Source organism: Homo sapiens, chromosome 19, assembly GCF_000001405.40.
Source record: "Homo sapiens chromosome 19, GRCh38.p14 Primary Assembly".
Taxonomy (NCBI): domain Eukaryota; kingdom Metazoa; phylum Chordata; class Mammalia; order Primates; family Hominidae; genus Homo; species Homo sapiens.
Genome location: NC_000019.10, coordinates 37,339,402 through 37,361,505, shown reverse-complemented (window position 1 = coordinate 37,361,505; position 22,104 = coordinate 37,339,402). Strand labels below are relative to the sequence as shown.

At 41.1% G+C, this 22,104-nt stretch overlaps 1 protein-coding gene across 70 annotated transcripts in view; it reads right to left on the bottom strand.

Moving 5' to 3' along the window:
* Nucleotides 1–22,104, bottom strand: part of ZNF875 (zinc finger protein 875) — a 51,619-nt gene that overhangs the window by 2,950 nt on the left and 26,565 nt on the right. For 24 of the 70 annotated variants that reach the window (XM_047438686.1, XM_017026675.2, XM_047438684.1 and 21 more), the window contains 2 exons: nt 14,190–14,316; nt 13,634–13,729 (listed from right to left, as the gene is read on the bottom strand). In XM_047438686.1, the coding sequence (XP_047294642.1) occupies nt 13,634–13,729; nt 14,190–14,316 (223 nt within the window). Of the gene's footprint in view, nt 1–1,729; nt 2,081–2,844; nt 2,966–3,466; nt 3,545–13,633; nt 13,730–14,189; nt 21,941–22,104 lie in introns of those variants that run through there. The other 46 variants (NR_138110.2, NR_138108.2, NR_138107.2 and 43 more) reach the window with 21 other exon arrangements.

The following is a 22,104-nucleotide window of genomic DNA, read 5'->3' as shown; positions in this document are numbered from 1 at the left end:
GACACAGAAAAGAGAAAGAGAAAGGAAGGAAGAAGAAGGAGGAGGAGGAGGAGAAGGAAAAGGAGAAGAAGAAAGAAGAAGTGGCAAATATTGCACGTGTTCTCAAAAACTTATGACGCCTGTAGTCCCAACACTTTGGGAAGCCGAGGCGGGCAGATCACGAGGTCAAGAGATTGAGACCATCCTGGCCAACATGGCGAAACCCTGTCTCCACTAAAAATAGAAAAATTAGCTGGCTATGGTAGCACACACATGTAGTCTCGGCTACTTGGGAGGCTGAGGCAGGAGAATCGCTTGAACCCCGGAGGCGGACGTTGCAGTGAGCTGAGATCGTGCCACCACACTCCAGCCTGGTGACACAGTGAGACTCTGTCTCAAAAAAAAAAAAAAAAAAAAGGAGAAGACAAACAAAATGAGGAGAAAATAAATGAAAGGCATCTTAACTAGAAAGGAAGAAGTAAAAAAAATCTCTTGTTCACAGATTATATAATTTTGTAAGCATAAAATTTCAAAAAAGCAACTAGAAGTCATAATTGTACTTAGGTCATATAAGATAAATATATAAAAAATAATTATATTTCTATATACTAGCAATGACTATTCTAAAAATGAAACTGAGAAAACAATACTATTCACGATAGCATAAAAATAATAAAATGCTAAGGAATAAATGTGACAAAGTAGCACAAAGTTTGTAAACTGAAAATTAAGGCTGGGCACGGTGGCTCATGCCTGTAATCCCAACACTTAAGGAGGCTGAGGTGGGAGGATTGCTTGAGGCCAGAAGTTAGAGGCCAGTTTGGGCAACATAGTGGGATGAAAGAAAGAGAAGAGAAAGAGAAAAGGAAAGGAAAGGAGGAAAAGAAGAAAGATTTTTAAAAAGAAAATTAACAAACATTGTTGAATGAAGTTAAAGCTCCAAATAAATAGGGAGACAGTCATAGATTGGAAGGCTTACTATTATTAAGATGGTGATTCTCACCAAAATTTATCTGCAGATTCAACATAATCATGGTATCACAACCACAGCAGGCTTTTGGTTTTTTTCCCTTTTGGAAATTCACAATCTGATCCTAAAACTTACATTGAAATTCAAAGGACATAAAATAGACAAAACAATTTCTGAAAAAGAAAATAAAGTTGGGGAGTGTATACTTCTAACTTCAAAACTTAATATAAAGCTACAGTAATGAAGATAGTGTGCTACTGTCATAGGAGGAAGATGGAGATCATGGAACAAAATCAGGAGACTAGAAATGAACACTTAGATTCACAGTCAGCTGATTTTTGATAAAGGTGCCAAGGTAATTCAATGGGAGGAAGGATACTCTTTATATGAGATTGTAAGGACAACTGAATATTCATATGCAAGAAAATGAATTTAGATTTTCACCTCATTTGATACATAAAAATTAACTAAAATGGATTGTAGCTCTAAATGTAAGAGCTAAAACTGTAAAACTTCTAGAAGAAACCAGTGAAGAAAATCTTCATAACCTTGAGTTAAGAATAAAGTTCTTAGTTACAACACCAAAAGCACAACCCATTTTAAAAATTGGTAAGTTAAACTTAATCAGCATTTAAAACTTTTGTGCCTGAAATGACACCATTGAGAAAATGAAAAGATAAGCCACAGACAGGGAGAAATATCTGAAAATCCTATATTGATATAGGACTTGTGTCTAGAATATACTAAAAATTCTTACAATTCAATAAGAACACAATCTAATTTTAAAATAAAGAAAAGAATTGAATAGGCATTTTACTAAAAAAGATATGCAAATGGTTAATAAACAATGAAAAGGGCCAGGCATGGTGGCTCATGCCTGTAATCCCAGCACTTTGGGAGGCTGAGGCGGGTGGATCACAAGGTCAGGAGATTGAGACCATCCTGGCCAACATGGTGAAACCCCGTCTCTACTAAAATACAAAAAATTAGCCAGGTGTGGTGGTGTGCACCTGTAGTCCCAGCTACTCAGGAGGCTGAGGCAGGGGAATTGCTTGAACCCAGGAGGCAGAGGTTGCAGTGAGCCGATATAACACCACTGTATTCCAGCCTGGCAACAGAGCAAGGCTCCATCTAAAAAAAAAAAAAAGAAAAGACTATATATTTCACAATGCCATTCTTATACGTCTAGAAACAGCAAATCTATAGACAGTAAACAAATCAATGGTTTCCTCTGATGGGAGGACGGATGAATGCAAATGGGCACATGAGAACTTTCTGGTGTGACAGAAATGTTGAATAGAGGTGACAATCATATAACTCTATAAGTTTACTAAAAATTATTGAACTGTACACACACAGGCCAGGTGCGGCGGTTCACGCCTGTAATCCCAGCACTTTGGAAGGCTGAGGTGGCGGATCACCTGAGGTCGGAAGTTTGAGACCAGCCTGACCAACATGGAGAAACCCTGTCTTTACCAAAAATACAAAATTAGCCAGGCCTGGTGGTACATGCCTGTAATCCCAGCTACTCGGGAGGCTGAGGCAGGAGAATCACTTGAACCCAGGAGGCAGAGGTTGCAGTGAGCCGAGATTGTGCCACTGCACTCCAGCATGGGCTACAACAGTGAAACTCCATCTCAAAAAAAAAATATATATATATTGAACTGTATACATACAATAAGTAATTTTATGGCATGTAAATTATACCTCAGTAAAGCTATTTTAAAAAGTGAGAACTGGCCAGGCGCGGTAGCTCACGCCTGTAATCCCAGCACTTTGGGAGGCCAAGGTGGGTGGATCACCTGAGGGCAAGAGTTCAAGACAAGCCTGGCCAAGATGGTGAAATCCTGTCTCTACTAAAAATACAAAACTTAGCCAGGCATGGTGGCACGCACCTGTAGTCCCAGCTAATCGGGAGGCTGAGGCAGAGAACTGCTTGAAACCAGGAGGTGGAGGTTGCAGTGAGCCGAGATCGCGCCACTGCACTCCAGCCTAGGCAACAGAGTGAGACTTCATCTCAAAAAAGAAAAAAAAAAAAAGTGAGAACTGAGGAATTGTATTCTAAAATGTCAGTGTTCAATAAATGTGATTCATCACATAAACAGGATTAAAAACAAAAACCGGCCAGGTGTGGTGGCTCATGCTTGTAATCCTAGCACTTTGGGAGGCTGAGGCGGGCGGATCACGAGGTCAGGAGATTGAGACCACGGTGAAACCCCATCTCTACTAAAAAAATACAAAAATATAGCCAGGCTTGGTGGTGGGCGCCTGTAGTTCCAGCTACTCAGAGAGGCTGAGGCAGGAGAATAGTGTGAACCTGGGAGACGGAGCTTGCAGTGAGCCGAGATCGCGCCACTGCACTCCAGCCAGGGTGACAGAGCAAGACTCCGTCTCAAACAAAAAAAAAAAAAAAAAAAAAAAAAGATCATCTTAATAGATGTAAAAAAAGCATCGGATAAAATCCAACACCCCTTCATGATAAAAATCTTTAACAAACTAGGCATCAAAGGAACATACCTCAAAATAAGAAGAGTTATCTGTGACAGACCTACAGCCAACTTCATACTGAATGGGCGAAAGCTGAAACCATTCCCCCTAAGAAGTGGAACAAGAAAAGGATGTCTGCTCTCACCACTCGTATTCAACTTAGTACTGGAAGTCCTAGAGAAAGCAATCATGCAAGACAGAGAAATAAAAGGCATCCAAATAGGAAAAGAGGGAGTCAAATTATCTCTGTTCGCCAAGAATCCTTTACCTAGAAAATCCTATACCTAGAAAATAATCCTATACCTAGAAAACTCTAAAGGTCCCTCCAAAAGACTCCTAAACCTGATTAAAAAAAAAAATTCAGTAAAGTTCCAGGATACAAAATCAATGTACAAAAATCAATAGCATTTCTATACACCAGTAACATTCAAGCTTAGAGCCAAATAAAGAACAAGATCCCATTTACAATAGCCACACGAATGCAAACACACACAAAATGCCTAAGAATACATCAAACCAAAGAGGTGAAAGGTCTCTGCGAGGAGAACTACAAAACACTGATGAAAGAAATCACAGATGACACAAAGGGAAAAACATTCTATGCTCATAGATTGTTAAGAATCAATATAGTTAAAATGATGATACTGCCCAAAGCAATCTACAGATTCAATGCAATTCCTATCAAATTACCAACATCATTTGTCATTCTAACATTCTAACAGAACTAGAAAAAACAATTCTAAAATTCATATGGGACCAACAAAGCCTGACTAGCCAAAGCAATCCTAAACAAAAAGAACAAAGCTGGAAATATCACATTACCTGACTTTGACTATACTACAAGGCTATATTAACTGAAACAGCACGGTGTAAGTACAAAAATAGACATATAGATCTACGGAACAGAACAGAGAACCCAGAAATAAAACCACACACCTACTACCAACTGATCTACGAGAAAGCTGACAGAAATAAACAATGGGGAAAGGACACCCTATTCAATAAATGATGCTGGGAAAACTGTCCAGCCACATGCAAGAGAATGAAACTGGACCCTTCCCCCTCATATACACAAATCAACTCAAGATGGATGAAAGACTTAAATGTAAGACCTCAAACTATAAAATTCCTAAAGGAAAACTAGGAAAAACTTCTCTGGACATTGGCCAAGGCAAAGAACTTATGACTAAGTCCTCAAAAGCGATTGCAACAAAAACAAAAATGGACAAATATGATTTAATTAAGCAAAAGAGCTTCTGCACTGCAAAAGAAACAATCAACAGAGTAAAAAGACAACCTACAGAATGGGAGAAAGCATTTGCGAACCATGCATCTTACAAAGGACTAATATGCAGAAACATAAGGAACTTAAACAAATCAACAACAAAAACCCAAATAACCTCATTAAAAAGTGAGCAAAGGACATAAACAGATACTTCTCAAAAGAAGGTACACAAACAGGGAGCAAACATAAAAAATGCTCAAAATCACTAATCATCAGAGAAATACAAATTACAACCACAAAGAGATCTTGGTACCAGTGAAGGATGGGAAAAGAAAACCCACAAGAAGATAGGCCATCTCACACCAGTCAGAATGGCTATTATTAAAAAGTTAAACAAACAAACAAACAAACAAAAAAACAGATGTTAGTGAGGATGCACAGAACAGGGAATGCTTATATATTGTTGGTGGTCATGTAAATTAGTTCAACCTGTATGGCAAACAGTATGGAAATTTCTCAAGGAACTAAAAATAGAACTACCATTCAATCCAACAATCCCAAGACTGGGAAAATAAATTGTTCTACCAGAAGACACCTGCACTCGTATGCTTATCGCAGCACTATTCCCAACAGCAAAGTCATGGAATCTTCGTATAGGCCCATCAATAGTGGACTGGATAAATAAAATGTGGTACACACACACCATGAAATACTATGCAGCCATAAAAAAGAATGAAATCATGTCCTCTGCAGCAACATGGATGCAGCTAGAGGCCATCATCCTAAGTGAATCAATGCAGAAACAGAAAATCAAATAACCTATGTTCTCACAAGTAGGAGCTAAACAATGGGTACACACGGACATAAAGATGGAAATAATAGACACTGGGGACTCCAAAACAGGGGAAAAAGGATGGAGGTAAGGGCTGAAAAACTACCTATCAGGTACTATGTAAACTATTTGGGTGATAGGTTCAATAGAAGCCCCAAACCCCAGCATTACATAATATACCCATGTAACAAACCTGCACATGTACACTCTGAATCTAAAATTAAATAAACAAATGAAATGTCAATGTTATAAAAGACAGAGAAAGATTATTGAAATAATAATTCCCTTCCCTTAATAATAATTATAGACATGACATGAAAATGAACTAACTAACCTTGGACTAGATTATGTTCTGGAAAGTAAAAAACCATATTATTCTATATGTTGACAAAATTATAATACGAATGGTAGATAACAGGCAAAATGACTGTATCAAAGTTAAGTTTACTGAGGCTGATAACCACACTGTGGTTATATGAGACAATATCGACATTCTTAGAAAATTCACAGAAACAAACACTTACAGGCCGGGGGTGGTGGCTCACGCCTGTAATCCCAGCACTTTGGGAGACCGAGGTGAGCAGATCATGAGGTCAGGTGTTCAAGACCAGCCTGACTAACATGGTGAAACCCTGTCTCTACTAAAAACACAAAAATTAGCCAGGCATGGTGGCGTGCACCTGTAATCCCAGCTACTTGGGAGGCTGAGGCAGGAGAATCGCTTGAACCCAGGAGGCGGAGGTTGCAGTGAGCCGAGATCGTGCCACTGCACTCCAGCCTGGGTGACAGAGCGAGACTCTGTCTCAAAAAACAAAAACAAAAACAAAGACAAAAACAAAACAAACACATATGAACATACATATACATATACACATACATACATATGTACTGAGAAAGGGGAAGGAAGGAGGAAGGGTATGCATGCAAAAGAGCACATGAATAAATGATAAAGCAAACTAAGTAAAATAGTAGGTCATTTTATGATGCCATTTATATAATAACATATATGCCATATGTCTTAATCTGTTTTGTATTGCTATAACAGAATACCTGAGACTGGGTAATTTACAAAAAAGTTTATTTGGCTCACAATTCTGGAGGTTGGATGGTAGCCCATTTGGTGATGGTCTCATGCTGCTTCAAATCACAGCAGAAAGAGGAAGGGAAAGCAAGTGCATGCAAAGAGGCCAAACATCAGAGGAAGCCTTGTTTTATAACAACTTGATCTCACGAGAACCAACCCAGTCCAAAAGAACTAACCCAGTCTGCATAAGCCATTCGAGAGGGCAGAGATGCCACAACCAAACACCTCTTAAAGGCCCCACCACCTTTCAATACCGTTAAACTGGCAATTAAATTTCACCATGAGTTGTGGTGGGGACAAACCACATACAACTCACTGCACCATATATATTTATTCTACTATTTTTATTTTTGCAAATATTCTGTAATTTTGAAGCAATTTCCAAAAATCAATTCAAAAATAAGTATGAGGAAGCCCACTAACGAAAATGCCAGCAGACTGAAATGGTCACAAGAACCCTGCAGCAGAAAATAATAAGACTGGATAAAATATAACAAATAACTACTCAAAGGCACTGGAAAATATACATAACCAGCCAGAAGATGGGGAAGAGTTTATGCTCAAAAAATTGCAACAGAAAGGGGTAATAATTTTGTTTGTGGCTTTCTTGCCTGAGAGCACTCCTAAAACCCACAGAAACAAGAGGAGGGGAGGGGAGGGGAGGGGAGGGGAGGGGAGGGGAGAGGAGGGGAGAGGAGGGGAGGGGGAAAGAAAAAAACAACTGAAATTTAAAAATTCACTAGACAGGTTTAATAGCAAACAGAAAAAGAAGAAAGATTAGTGAATTTGAAAATAAAAGAATAGAAATTACATATATCCACCCACCCCTCAAAAAAGAGAAAAAAGACTGAAGAAAAATGAACAGAAGCTTATGAGACAATATGAATCTTCAGAAACACATTTCCAGCAGTCCAATATACAGGTAAATTGGGAGTCCTAGAATGAGAGGAAAGAGTAAAAGGGACAGGAAAAATATTGAAATAATAGCCAAGTACTTCTCACAGTGAATAGAAAATAAAACTTAGAGAGCCAAGAAGCTTCATAATGCTTAAGTAGTAGAAACACAAAGAAAACGGCTCATAGAAACATCACGGTCAAACTGCTGAAGGCCAAAGATAACGAGAAAATCTTGAAGACAGCCAGAGAAGATCAAAATATAAAAGAACAATATAATAATTACTCAACAAAAATTACAAAACTATGAAAGCCAGAAGACACTGCAATGCCAGAGAAAAATATGTTAACCAGCGATTCTATCTCCAGTTAATTTTCGCAAACTGGAGAGAAAATAATCTTTTCAGATTAAAATGGAAAATCCAATGCCAGGTAACTGTACTAAATGTTAAAGGAAGTCTTTCAGGATGAAGGAAAATGGTATCAGATGGCAACTTGTATCTACATTAAGGAGTGAAGAGCATAAGAAATGTGACAGATATAAAGCACACACACATATTTCTACATACATTTACCTTAATTTCTTTAAAAATACGTATTACTATACGATGGCTTAAAAATTTTAACACTGTAGTATTGGGTTTAGGATGTTTACAGAAATAATGTATATGACAACAGCACTGAAGATGAGGGGAATGTAAACATACTCTTGTGAGATTCTTACATTACCTTAAACAAATAATAACTCTAATTGGTTTAAGTTAAAAATACATATTGTAAGCCCTGGAAAAGTCATGAACACACACAAGGCAGATACATAGCTAGATAGCTGAGAGAAATTAACATGAAGATCGAAAAAGGAGCCGGGCGCGGTGGCTCACGCCTGTAATCTGAACACTTTGGGAGGCTGAGGCAGGCAGATCACTTGAGGTCAGGAGTTCGAGACCAGCCTGGCCAACATGGTGAAATCCCATCTCTACTGACAATACAAAAATTAGCTGGGCGTAGTAGCGTGCGCCCCTAGTCCCAGCTACTCGGGAAGCTGAGGCAGGAGAATCCCTTGAACCCAGGAGGCAGAGGATGACTGAGCCAAGATCTCACCACTGCACTCCAGTCTCGGTGACAGAGTGAGACTATGTCTCAAAAAAAAAAAAAAAAAAGAAAAAAGAATCTAAAAAGTATTTTATTAAAACATTAAAACAAAAGTAGGCTAAAGAAAACAGAGCAAGTAAAAACACATTGGAGAAAACAAAGAAAAATCTGGCAAAAGTAGAAATAACCTTACTTATCAACAATAACATTTGAGTGCTAATGCATTCAATACTCCAACAAAACGTAGAGATTGGCAAACTGGATAAAGAAGAAAAAAATCAACTATATGCTGTCTATAAGAGACTCATTTTAAATACAAAGACGCAAATAAAAAGATTGAAATATAAAGAATGGACAAAGGTATGCCACGGAAAGAGTAAATATTAAAAAGCTGGAATGGGCCAGACATGGTGGCTCACGTCTGTAATCCCAGCACTTTGGGAGGCAGAGGCAGGTGGATCACCTGAGGCCAGGAGTTCGAGACCAGCCTGGCCAACATGGTGAAATCCTGTCTCTACTAAAAATAGGAAAAAAATTAGCCAGGCGTGGTAGTGGGCACCTGTAATCCCAGCTACTCAGGAGGCTGAAGCAGGAGAATCACTTGAAGCCAGGAGGCCTTTAAGAGGTGTTTGGTCGTGGCATCTCCAAGCCACGCCCGAGAAAGTGCCACTGCACTCCAGCCTGGGCAACAAAAGCAAAACTCTGTCTCAAAAAAAAAAAAGCCTGGAGTAGCTATATTAATATCAGATAACAGACCTGAAGACAAGCGGTATTGCTAAAAAACAAAGGAGGAAATTCCATAATGATAAAAAGGTCAATAAGAAGACGTAACAATTATTAATGTACATGTGCCTCATAGCAAAATTACTAACTGTATGAATCAAAACCTTAGAGATCACTACAGAGACATAGACAAATCCACAATGATATGTTAACACACCTTTGCAGTAATGGATAGAAAAATAAGATCAAAAACTCAGTAAGGATATCAATCATCTGAAAAATATTACCAATATGACCTATCTGACATTTATAGGATAGTACCCTCAACAACTGCAGAATACACATTCCTTTTAAGAGCTCATAGGATGTTCACAAAAATAGATCATATGCTGTGCCATAAAATTAATCTCAACAGACTTTGAAAGATTGAAAATATACAGAATACATTCTCTCAACAAAATACAATTAAATTGAAAACCAATAAAAATAAAACATTTAGAAAATACCTGAATATCTGGAAATTAAGCAGCTCACTTCTAAACAACCAATAGGTTAAAAAATAAGAAAATTAGAAAATATCATGAACTAAATGATAAAGAAAACACAACACACCAAAAGTTGTAGGATTCAGCTAAAGCAAGGCTTAGAAATAAATGTACAGATATATATGTGATTGTATTAGAAAAGAAGGTCTATACCAATGACCTAAGCTTCTACCTCAGGAAGTAAGAAGAAGAGGAAATTAAACCCAAAGAAAGTAGAATGCAGAAAAAGATACAAATAAAAATCACTTAAATGGGATATAGATTAATACTACAGAAAATCAATGAAACCAAAAGTTGACTCTTTGCAAAAATCCATAAAATTAATAAACCTTTAGATAAAATACCCCCAAAATGTTTTAAATCACAATATGGGGAATGAAAGAGGAAGCACCACTAGAGAAATATACACACTTTTAAAGAAATTTGGGAATATTATGAACATTATGCCAACAAATTTAACTGCTGAGGTTAAGTGGACAAATTAATTAAAATACACAAATTTAAAAAGACTGACACATGAAGAAATGTAGCATAAGAATAATTATATATTTTAGTAGAAATAAAATTTGAGGCTGGGCACAAGTGGTTCACGCCTGTAATCCCAGCACTTTGGGAGGCCGAGGTGGGTGGATCACCTGAGGTCAGGAGTTCGAGACTAGGTTGGCCAACATGGTGAAACCCCGTCTCTACTAAAAATACAAAATTAGCCAGGCATGGTGGCACATGCCTGTAGTCCCAGCTACTCAGGAGGCTGAGGCAGGAGAATCGCTTGAGTCCAGTAGGCCGAGGTTGCAGTGAGCTGGGATTGCACCACTGCACTCCAGCCTGGGGGACAAGAACAAAATTCTGTCTCAAAAAAAAAAAAAAAAAAAAAAGCAAAAAGAATTATAGTGATGGGGAACAGATCAGTAGTTGCCAGGGGTTAAGATTGGAGGGAAGATAGCACAGGAGAGTTTTCTTTGTAGTGATAGAAGAGTTCTACATCTTTATTGTGGTGATGGTGGCTACATAAATCTTATTTATGTAATGAAATTTCATACTACTATAGAGCAACAATTAAAAAAAAGAGTACATGCAAAAACTGATGAAATCTGAATCTGAATAAAGTCTTTAGTTTACTCAATAGTACTGTACCAATGTCAGTTACCTGGTTTTGAAATGTACTGTGGTTATATAAGATATTATCATTGGGGAAAGCAGGGTGAAGAGTAAATGGAAACTCTCTGTATTATTTTTATAAATTGAGACAAATTATTTCACAGTTTGTTTAAATAGCAAGCAGGGCATCAGGTAAAGTGGCTCACGCCTGTAATCCCAGCACTTTGGGAGGCTGAGGTGGGCGGATCATGAGGTCAGGAGATGGAGACCATCCTGGCTAACACTAAAAATACAAAAAAGTTAGCCGGGCGTGGTGGCATGCATGTAGTCCCAGCTACTCGGGAGGCTGAGGCAGGAGAATTGCTTGAACCTGATAGGCGGAGGTTGCAGTGAGCCGAGATTGCGCCTTTGCACTCCAGCCTGGCAACAGAGCGAGACTCTGTATTAAAAAAAAAAAAAAAAAAAAAAAAGGCCAGTGGGGGCCGGGCGTGGTGGCTCACGTCTGTAATCCTTGAACCTGATAGGCGGAGGTTGCAGTGAGCCGAGATTGCGCCTTTGCACTCCAGCCTGGCAACAAAGCGAGACTCTGTATTAAAAAAAAAAAAAAAAAAAGGCCAGTGGGGGCCGGGCGTGGTGGCTCACGTCTGTAATCCCAGCATTTTGGGAGACCAAGGCAGGTGGATCACTTCAGGTCAGCAGTTCAAGACCAGCCTGGCCAACATGGTGAAACCCCGTCTCTACTAAAAATACAAAAACCAGCCAGGCATGGTGGCACACGCCTGTAGTCCCCGCTATTCAGGAGGCTGAGACAGCAGGATCGCTTGAACCTGGGAGGCAGAGGTTGCTGTGAGCTGAGATCATGCCACTGCACTCCTGGCTGGGTGACAGAGCAAGACTCCATCTCAATAAAAAAAAATAAAAAAAGCAAGGAGGTAGGCCACAGATTGGAACATCTGATAAAGAGTTCACCTCAATGATTTATTTTTAAAAATTCAAATTCAAATCAACAAGAAGAAAAGCAAAAGAATTGAAAAGGCTTCACAGAAGAGCAAACACCAAGGCCAGTCAAGGAATGAACATATAAAAAGATGCTCAAACTCAAAACTAATCAAATTACAACTACTATGAGAGGCCATTTCATACCCAAAAGATGATCAAAACCTAAAGTCTGACCACACAAAGTATTAGGAAGGATGTAGGGCAACTAGAATCCTCAAACAATAAAATGCTATGTGAGTGTAAGCAATTGCTATAGGTTGAGTTCTGTTTCCCCAAAAAATGACATATTGGAGTCCAAACCCCTAATATCTCAAAAGATGAACTTATTTGGAAACAGGGTTGTTGCAGATGTAATTAGTTAAGATGAGGTCATTAGAGTGGGTCCTAATCCAGTATGAATAATGTCCTTACAAACAAGGAAAATTTGGACACAGAGACACACACACAGGGAGAATGCTATATGAAGATGAAGGCAGAGACTGGGACTCTGCTCCTCCACGCCATGGATTGCCAGCAAACCTCCAGAAGCTAGAGGAGAGGCATGGGACAGATTCTTCCTCACAACCCTCAAAAGGAACCAACCCTACCAACACCTTCATCTCTACTTCTAGCCTCCAGAACTGTGAGAAAATAAACTTCTGTTGTTTAAGCCACTCAGTTTGTGGTACTTTGTTGTGGCAGCCCTAGAACACTAATACAACAACTTTGGAGAATAGTTTGGCATTACCTTGTCAGACTGACCAGGTGCATATTCTTTTACTCAGCTGTCCTATTCCTAGGTACATATCCTAGATAAACGGGTGCTTATGTGCCCAAGGACATATCTATGAGAAGGTTCACAGCAACATTCTTTAGTGGGTCAAAAGAATACACTGTTAGAACTGTAACTGTCCAACAAAAATGGAATGGATAAATGAATTGTATTATAATTATGCATAAAATACAATATTATATAGCCACAAAAATGAATGAAGCAGAGCTACATATACCAACATAGTACAAAATTAGTCTCAGGGAAGAAAACAAAATACATACATAATATGATGACATTGATATAAAGTTTTAAAATATGCCAAACAACAATATAGATGATTTAGCGATTCATACATATGAAGGAAATGATAAAGCCATGCATGAGAATTACAAATCCCTAATACTGAAAAACAATTCCATTGGAGGGATGGGTAGAGGATACCATCAGGGAAGGGGAAATAGGGGTTTCGACTGTTTAGGTCATTTTTTATTTCTTAAGCTGGGACATTGGCACATGAGTATGTATTTTATTATTAGTCATAGCTTAAGTATTGTGTAATAAGTTATGGGAATTGGAGAGGTGGAGTTAATCAATTAATCTTAGCATAAGAGTAGCTAGAAAGTATCTAGAAGTGTCGTAGACTTAACATTCATGGGTAGATGCAATTTTTAAGATCAGGTGAGAAAGAAGACAGTGAATGAGGAAAGACTAAGCATTACGGAGAAGACAAATGAGGAAGGGAGGCTTCCTGGTGTAGGGAAGAGACAAGGGAACCAGGGAAGTCCCTCCCTCAACTGAAGATTATGTTCCGGAAAGAAGACCATGTCAGGCAACGTTTCTCTTGGCTTAGGAGGCCTGAAGAAGAGCTTCTTCCCAGTATCTGAGAGATGCCTCCTCCTTCCTATCTGCCAAGCTGTGGATTATCCCGTCTACCCCACACTCAACACTCACCTGGACAGAGGTCCAGTGGACATTTTCTCTCCTCTCTCCAGGGCGCTTCCCCTCGCTCCAGCTGAGCAATGAGTTTTGGTTTAGAAGATGGAATTTCTGTTCATAGGGAAGAAAATGAGGACATTGTTGGTTATGGGCTCAAGAGGGCATTCTAGAACTCAGAGCTGAAATGGGTGAGGAAACCCAGAGGATAAAAAAGACCTATGAATAGTTCTCTCTCTGAAGTAGAAGGGTTGACTAAGGAAAGGTGACTCCAGTCAGAAAGATGGCATATTATGAACACTTGGTGTATGAAAAATTTCCTGGGTTTGAAGCAAAATAAAGAGAGAGCACAAGCCTTGGGAAACAGGCCTGGAAATGTAGTGTCATCCATAACATGAATAAATCAATCTGTCTGCTTTCAATTCTACTAAATCCAGATTTACCCAGAGGAAAAAAGTAAATTGTTTTCAAGCTCAACTCTAAGGGAAAGGTGCTCTGCAGGTAGCCCTTCCTCACGATGAGTGGAAAATACTCTGTAGGGCAGATTTTAAGTGCCAAGGGAGGCCATTCTTACCCAGTGAGACCAGATGGTTATAAGTCTCCAGCATCACCTCCCTGTGCAGGGTCCTCTGAGCAGGGCTCAACAACCTCCACTCCTCCTGGGTGAAGTACACAGCCACATCCCTGAATGCCACGAACGCCTTTAACACAAAACACACCTCTGCTCACCCAGGAGCCTGTCTTTCCCTCCCACACTTTAGAATGAGAGGTCAAGGCCAGGCCCGGTGGTTCATGCCTGTAATCCCAGCACTTTGGGAGGCCAAGGTGGGCGGATCACCTGAGGTCGAGAGTTTGAGATCAGCCTGACCAATATGGAGAAACCCCGTCTCTACTAAAAATACAAAATTAGTCAGGTGTGGTGGCGCATGCCTGTAATCCCAGTTACTTGCGGTAAGCCGAGATTGCGCCATTGCACTCCAGCCTGGGCAACAAGAGCAAAACTCTGTCTCAAAAAAAAAAAAAAAGAATGAGAGGTCAAAAGGCTTCCCTGAGGGAAGTAGGAAAGATTTCTAGACCCTACTTTGGATTGTGACCTTGGCACCAAGGAGTGAAAGACCATTATTCTCCTATCTCTGCCGAGCCAGCATCATTTATGCACCTGTTACTTACTGTCAATATCCCAGGCTAGCTGCTAGGGAGGATAAGAGCAAACAAAACCAAAGCCCTTACCTAGAGGGCGTTTCAAAACTAGGCAGGGAGAAGAAGACACCACACAAGTACAACTAAATAGTAAAGAATTATCTTGCTGAGTTTGAAAATTTTCTGAGACTACTTGGTCTCACTATTTGTTCTACTTGAAGCAGTGGTGCCTCTGGGGCTTGGGGGCAAATAACTCACCAATATATATAGTTCCTACAGCAGGGCTCACTCCTTCCTCTACCAAATGCTGCCACGTGCCTGCTCAGGCCTAAGGAGGGAAAGTGGGTGGTGATGAAGAGCGTGGATTCAACCCATACTATCTGGATTTGGAACCCATCTCTGTCCACAACTAGTGTAACCTCAGGCACTGAATTAGCTGCTCAGCACGTCAGTTTCTCCTGCGAACTAAAAATAACAGTGCTTATCTCACAGCTTGTGGTGAGGATTAGGATTACTGTGAAGGGCTCAGACAAAATGCCCAGTGCAGTCCCTGGCCGTTCTATGTAAAATTCCATGCTCTCATGCGGGTTTCATTCCCCTCTCCTGCTTTATTGTGTTGCCTTAACTCTAAGATAATACATTATATTCATTTCTATTTTCTGACTTCCCACTAAGACATCAGTTCCATGTGCATGGCTGGATCACTGTGATTGCCCTGGTGTCTACAACAGAATCTGCAAACACTTAGCAGTCAAATATTTTTAAATAACCAAAAATGATTTATTATTATTAGACAAGCAACAAAGTTTCAAACGAACCTCTGCTACCTAGAAAGCTGTACTTTGGAGGATGGGAATATATAACCGTCCTTGGCATGGAAGTTCGGTGAGATTTCCAAATGAGTCTGGAAATCTAGCACTGGGATTCTTCCCTGCCCAACACTTATTCTCTTTAGGTACAATCTGCAGTCCATAGAGGGGTTTAATTTGACCCATATACTGCTTTAAAACTTGTGTTTATATCAATTAAATGTTGGAAGATTTCATATGAAAATCTCAATCTATGGGTTATGTTAAAAATCCATAAATCTGACCACCCTGGGCTTTGCACTGCTGTAGGACCACAGTTGGCTGACGGTGACTCATGCTGGGGGTCTATCAGCCGCAACACACTATTGGAGACTGCCTCACCAGCGTCATTCATTTAGGTACATGCCTTGTCTCTTTGATTTTGCATCCCCTTCTCAGAATGCCTCCATCACTCCTTGAGGGTATGACATTGTGTCTCTAAAACTAATTCCACACTGTACCCTTCCCAGGGAATCCTCCCTACATTTCCTGTCCCCTACCAGCTCCACTATTCTACACTGGCTGGACTATGAAATGGCCTTAAGACTCTACCTACACTCAGTTATATCGATAGCTGTCCCCAAACCCAGCCAGTCCCAATGTACTTAATCGCAAGAGAAGAGCACAGATGAGTGAGGGCTTTGGTTCTCATACCTCATCTCTCTCTGGCTATATTTTAGAGCTACCTGGGTGGTGTTTTAAATTATGGATTCTTGAGTCCCACCACAAATCCGTAAAACCAGGGGATGGGGCTTTTGTACTTTCAAAGGCTCCTAAAAGTAGTGTGATGGTTGTGAATCACTGGGTCAGAGTAATCTCAAGAGGGAGAGGTCACTGTAGGATTGAGGATCAGGAAAAGTTCATGAGAAGGAGGTACTCACTGAGAATCTAGGTGATGGGTATGTGAGTGTTCAATGTACAAGGCTTCCTGGTTTTTTCCATATGTCTGAAACTGTTCATCATTAAACACTGGAGAGAAAAAGGCTATTCAGGTATCTGCCTAGTCCCTGTTGTGATTTGCTTTTACAACCCCTTCTCAGAACATACACACATACACCCCTTGAAAATCTCCCACGAAGGAGCTACATCACAGAGCAATTAGTGTTACTTTAACACATTTAATACAACCGTTATTCCTCCAGCCCCGGAACAACTCATGGTTTGTCTGTGAACCATGCATGTAGGGAGCATTGTAGACACTGTGTGGTTGACCCTCATGATTCACTCCAAATCTCTCCCACTGAGTAGAAACACAGCTAGAAGCTTGGGGGAGTTAATTCATCTGCTTGCCAGCTGAAAAATAAATATATGAAAAATGAATGGTAACCAACAGGCCACAAGAAGCCTTACCGTAGGATTCTAGCAAAAGACTTCGTCATTTGTAAGATGGAGTCACAGGAATTAAGCACTTTTCCTGATGCTCAGAAACATGGGCACAGATTACCCAAAAGAGGCAGCAGGGCTTAGTGCACTGGCTCAATGTGTGTTCCCTGAACCTGCAGCACCAGCATCCCCTGGGAACTTGTTAGAAATAAAAATTCTCAGTCCCCATCCTAGGGCTACTGAATCAGAAATTGCGGGGGGAGCCCAGCAATGTTTGAACAAGGCTTCCAAGTAATTCTGATGCACACTAAAGTTTAACAACTACTCAGTGGCTAAAAGCACAAACTCTGGAGACAAACTGTGTTCAAATTACAGTCCCCTCTCTCCTCCCTCCCCTATGACTTTGCGTTGATATCTTAATATCTGTGTCTCAATTTCCTATAAAATCGATATTATAATAGTACTTACCTTATGGGGCCATTGTGAGAATTAAACAAAGTTGCTATTGGCAGACATCCTATGGCTTTGAGGGGAACCAGCCTGGATGAGGCTGACACTGTAGAGAACAGGGTAGACTGCAGAGATGAAAGCACCCCAGTCCTTGGGAAGCTTATGGAGCTGAAGGACCAACCCCAAAGTGCACTCTCTCTGTGAACTTCTTTTTATATAGGCTAAGTTACTTATTGTTTAGAACAGCCTAAATTAGGTTTACTGTTGCTTGCGGCCAAAAGCATTGTATCTAACCAGTGGATGGGTACAGTGATGGCCCCAGTGAATCATGCCTCCCTGTTTCTACCCTTCATGCAGTCTCCTCCTAAATTAACCCTGGGCTTGGCCATGGGACCTGCTTTATCCAGTGGGACACCAGCAAACATGATGCAAGCAGATGTTTGAGAGGCATCTGAGTTCAGGGCTGGCCTTCTCGCTGTGCAAGAAACCTTGAGACCACCATGTGAATAACCTGAGCTTGCCTGCTGAAGAGGCCACATGGAGAAGAACCAGGAATTGAAGCATCCCAGCCAACCAAGCTGTCAACCACCAGACAGGTTGAGACCATCCAGCTGTAGCTGAGCAGCCAGCTAACTACAGCCACATGAGGATGCCAAGAGGATCAGCTCAGCCATGCCGGGCCTACTTGCTGACCCACAGGATTTTGAAAAAATGATTTCATTTTAAGCTGCTAAGTTTGTTTGGTTTTTTTTTTTTTTTGGTTTTATTTTATTTATTCTTTATTTTTTGGAGATAGTCTCACTCTGACACCTAGGCTGGAGTGCAATGACGTGGTCTCGGCTCACTGCAACCTCTGCCTCCTGGGTTCAAGCGATTCTCCTGCTCCCGCCTCAGCCTCCCAAGTAGCTGGGACTACAGGTGTGTACCACCACACCCGGCTAATTTTTGTATTTTTAGTAGAGACGGGGTTTCACTATGTTGGCCAGGCTGGTCTCGAACTCCTGACCTCATGATCCGCCCGCCTCGGCCTCCCAAAGTGTTGGGATTACAGGTGAGAGCCACTGTACCAGGCCTAAGCCGCTATGTTCTTTAGGCCACTAAGTTGGTACACAGAAGTGAAGTGCTGCCATAACAAAATACCTAAAACATGTGGCATTAGCTTTGGGAGCAGGACATGGGCAGAGGCTTGGAAAGCATCCAGGAAAACTATTAGCACAGGCTGGAAAACCAGTAAACAAACTGCTAGTGGGGACTGGGAAAGGAGTGATGAAACTGATATGGCAGCTTGAACAAGGCAACTAGTATTATATATTAGCAAAGCTATTGCCTGCATGAACTTGGAAAACAGAAAATATACCTGATGAATTTTTGGATCTAGCTAAAGAGATCTCCAAAAAGCCTGTTAAAAGTTTCACTTGGGCCAGGCGTGGTGGCTCACATTTGTAATCCCAACACTTTGGGAGGCCGAGGCAGGCGCATCACCCAAGGTTGGGAGTTTGAGACCAGCCTGACCAACATGGAGAAACCCCGTCTCTACTAAAAATACAAAATTACCCAGGTGTGGTGGCGCATGCCTGTAATCCCAGCTACTCGGGAGGCTGAGGCAGGAGAATTGCTTGAACCTGGGAGGTGGAGGTTGCAGTGAGCCGATATCGCTCCATTGCACTCCAGCCTGGGCAACAAGAGTGAAACTTCATCTCAAAAAAAAAAAAAAAAAAAATTCAGTTGGATGTTTCTAGTGACATATAATAATGTCCAGAAACAGAAGAGCTGAAGAAGCAATTATACAGCTTGCAAGCGTAATTCAGAGGAAATATAGACAAGTCAGGACTTGCTAGCTTGGAAATAAAATTATTTTACATCTTCAGTCTCTCCAGCCAGCACATGTCTCAAAATAAAAAAATAAACTCAGAGTAAAGTTCGAATCAAAAGTTTGGCTAAAAGACCCAAACTTTAGAACCTCTGAAGTGTTAAGGGGATGCCTAGTGGAGTCTCCACGCTGGACAAAAAGGCTTCTGAGATTCTTATGGGCATTGTCCCATAGCACCGACACCTTGCCAAAGATGTGAGGCCTGTCTGACTGTGATTTCAGCTTTTGTTTAATAGAGCAGTCCCAAATCTGGTACATGGGAAACCCATAGAGCTTTCAAGGAAGTCCAAAGGATCTGAAACAGTTCAAAATGGAGAGGCCTCCTCTATGCTTAATTCCTGTCCTTTCTGAATGGGAGCATCTACTGCAGTATCTCTCTCTCACCACTGTATGTTAGGTAGGGAATGTTTGGGGTGGAGGGAAACAAATGACTTGCCTTTTTAGTATACAGGTATCTGACTCAAAAAGGATCCAGTGAAGAAGCTTTAGCTACATCCAGACTGTTACACATAAGATACTGGACTTTTGAATCAAGATGAAACTTTTGGGGATCTTGGGAGGGGGGTGAGTTAATCTTGCACATGGTAAGGGTATGAATCATTGGGACCAATAAATCATGTCTCCCTGTATCTACTCCCTTATGTTATCCCGTTCTATGACGACTCTGGACTTGGCCATGTGACTTCCTTTGGCCAAAAGGACATCAGTGAACATGACAAAAGCCAAAACGTTAAAACTACTTGTTAATTGGGGCTGTCCTCTCTTCCTGCATAGAGAAACCCAAGACCATTTGACCAAGCCCAAGCCCACATGGAAGAGAACCAAGAAGAAACTAGGCACCCCAGCCAACCAGCTTCCTGTCACACATGGATAGTCCTCCAGCCCTGGTCAAAATGCCAGCCGACTGCAGCAAAATGACAAGACCAGGTGAAATCTGCAAAACCTACCTGCGGCCAGCCCAAAATATGAACCTACCAAATTATGTGCTAATAAGTGATTTTGTTTTAAGCCATTGATGTTTAGGATTGTTCATTATACAGCAAAGGCTGATACACTGATAGAGGGATCACGTGATATGAAAAATACGTGGTGACTAATGTGACCGTTGGCTTGCTGGGATGCCCATGATGTCAGAAACTCCTAAGCTAGTCTTGGAGAACAGCAGATTCAGTCCTCCCATTTCTCACTCACTCCTGGGCATGAATTCATTAAATGGGAAAGGAAACAGATTGACCTGACCTACTTTTATTTTTCTCCTCTTTTTTCAGCTGAGTGGATAAAAAGTAAATGTATCTAAGTTAAAAGTACACAAGGCCAGACGCGGTGGCTCACGCCTGTAATCCCAGGACTTTGGGAGGCCGAGGTGGATAGATCATGAGGTCAGGAGATCGAGACCATCCTGGCTGACAAGGTGACACCCCGTCTCTACTAACAATACAAAAAATTAGCCGGGCGTGGTGGTCGGCACCTGTAGTCCCAGCTACTCGGGAGGCTGAGGCAGGAGAATGGCGTGAACCCAGGAGGCGGAGCTTGCAGTGAGCTGAGATCGTGACACTGCACTCCAGCCTGGGCGACAGGGCCAGACTCCGTCTCAAAAAAAAAAAAAAAAAAAAAAGTACACATAAGATGACTCCCCTGTGGTAACAATAAACACACTTTCAGACTGAATAATCAGAACATGACATCAGACAACAGGATACAATATTTGAAATGAAGACTGTCCTAAATATCTAAGACACTGAAATGAGGCACTAAAGGTTTCTGAAAAGTGATGTTACTGCAATGTTGGGGAAAACGAGGATTACAGAAACATGTAGTGGGTGGCAAAGGACCATGTCAACATTTGGAAACAAATCAGGATACTATGTGAGCTTTCATGTGAGAGAAGAAAGAGACCTAAGTTGGCAGGTCTACCCCGGTAATCAAAATCTGCACAGTGTAATAATTAAAATAAAAGCAAATAAAAGTTGTACAGTAGGGCTGGGCGTGGTGGCTCACACCTGTAATCCCAGCACTTTGGGAGGCCGAGGCGGGTAGTTCACCAGAGGTCAGGAGTTCAAGACCAATCTGACCAACATGGTGAAACCCCATCTCTACTAAAAATACAAAATGAACTGGGCACGGTGGCACATGCCTGTAATTCCAGCTACTTGGGAGGCTGAGGCAGGAGAATCACTTGAACCTGGGAGGCGGAGGTTGCAGTGAGCTGAGATCATGCCATTGCACTCCAGCCTGGGCAACAAGAATGAAACTCCATCTCAAAAATAATAATAATAATAAATGAATAAAATAAAATAAAAATTGCACAGTATAAAGAAACACATGGTGAAGAAGGGAGTCTCAGAAAAGAAAGAAGTAATTGGAAGTTCAAATTCTTTAGAACTGGCAGGGTTCAGGGCCAGCCGCGGTGCTCATGCCTGTAATTCCAGCACTTTGGGAGGCCAAGGCAGGTGGGTCACTTGAGGTCAGGAGTTTGAGACCAGCCTGGCCAATATGGTGAAACCCTGTCTCTACTAAAAATACAAAAATTAGCCTGGTGTGGTGGCGGGCACCTGTAATCCCAGCTACTCAAGAGGCTGAGGCAAGAGAATTGCTCGAACCTGGGAGGCAGAGGTTGCAGTGAGGCGAGATCGATTGCACCACTGCATCCCAGCCTGATGCAGTGGGACAGAGTGACAGAGCGAGACTCTGTCTCAAAAAAAAAAAAAAAAAAAACTGGCAGGGTTCAAATCTCCAACTGCTGTGGGTGCCCAATGCTTCAAAACAGTCATGTCTATTCACCTTGTCATATTTTGTATGAGAATAAAAACCTATATAAGAATTTCATGTACAAAGCTGATCATAGAAGTATTATTTGC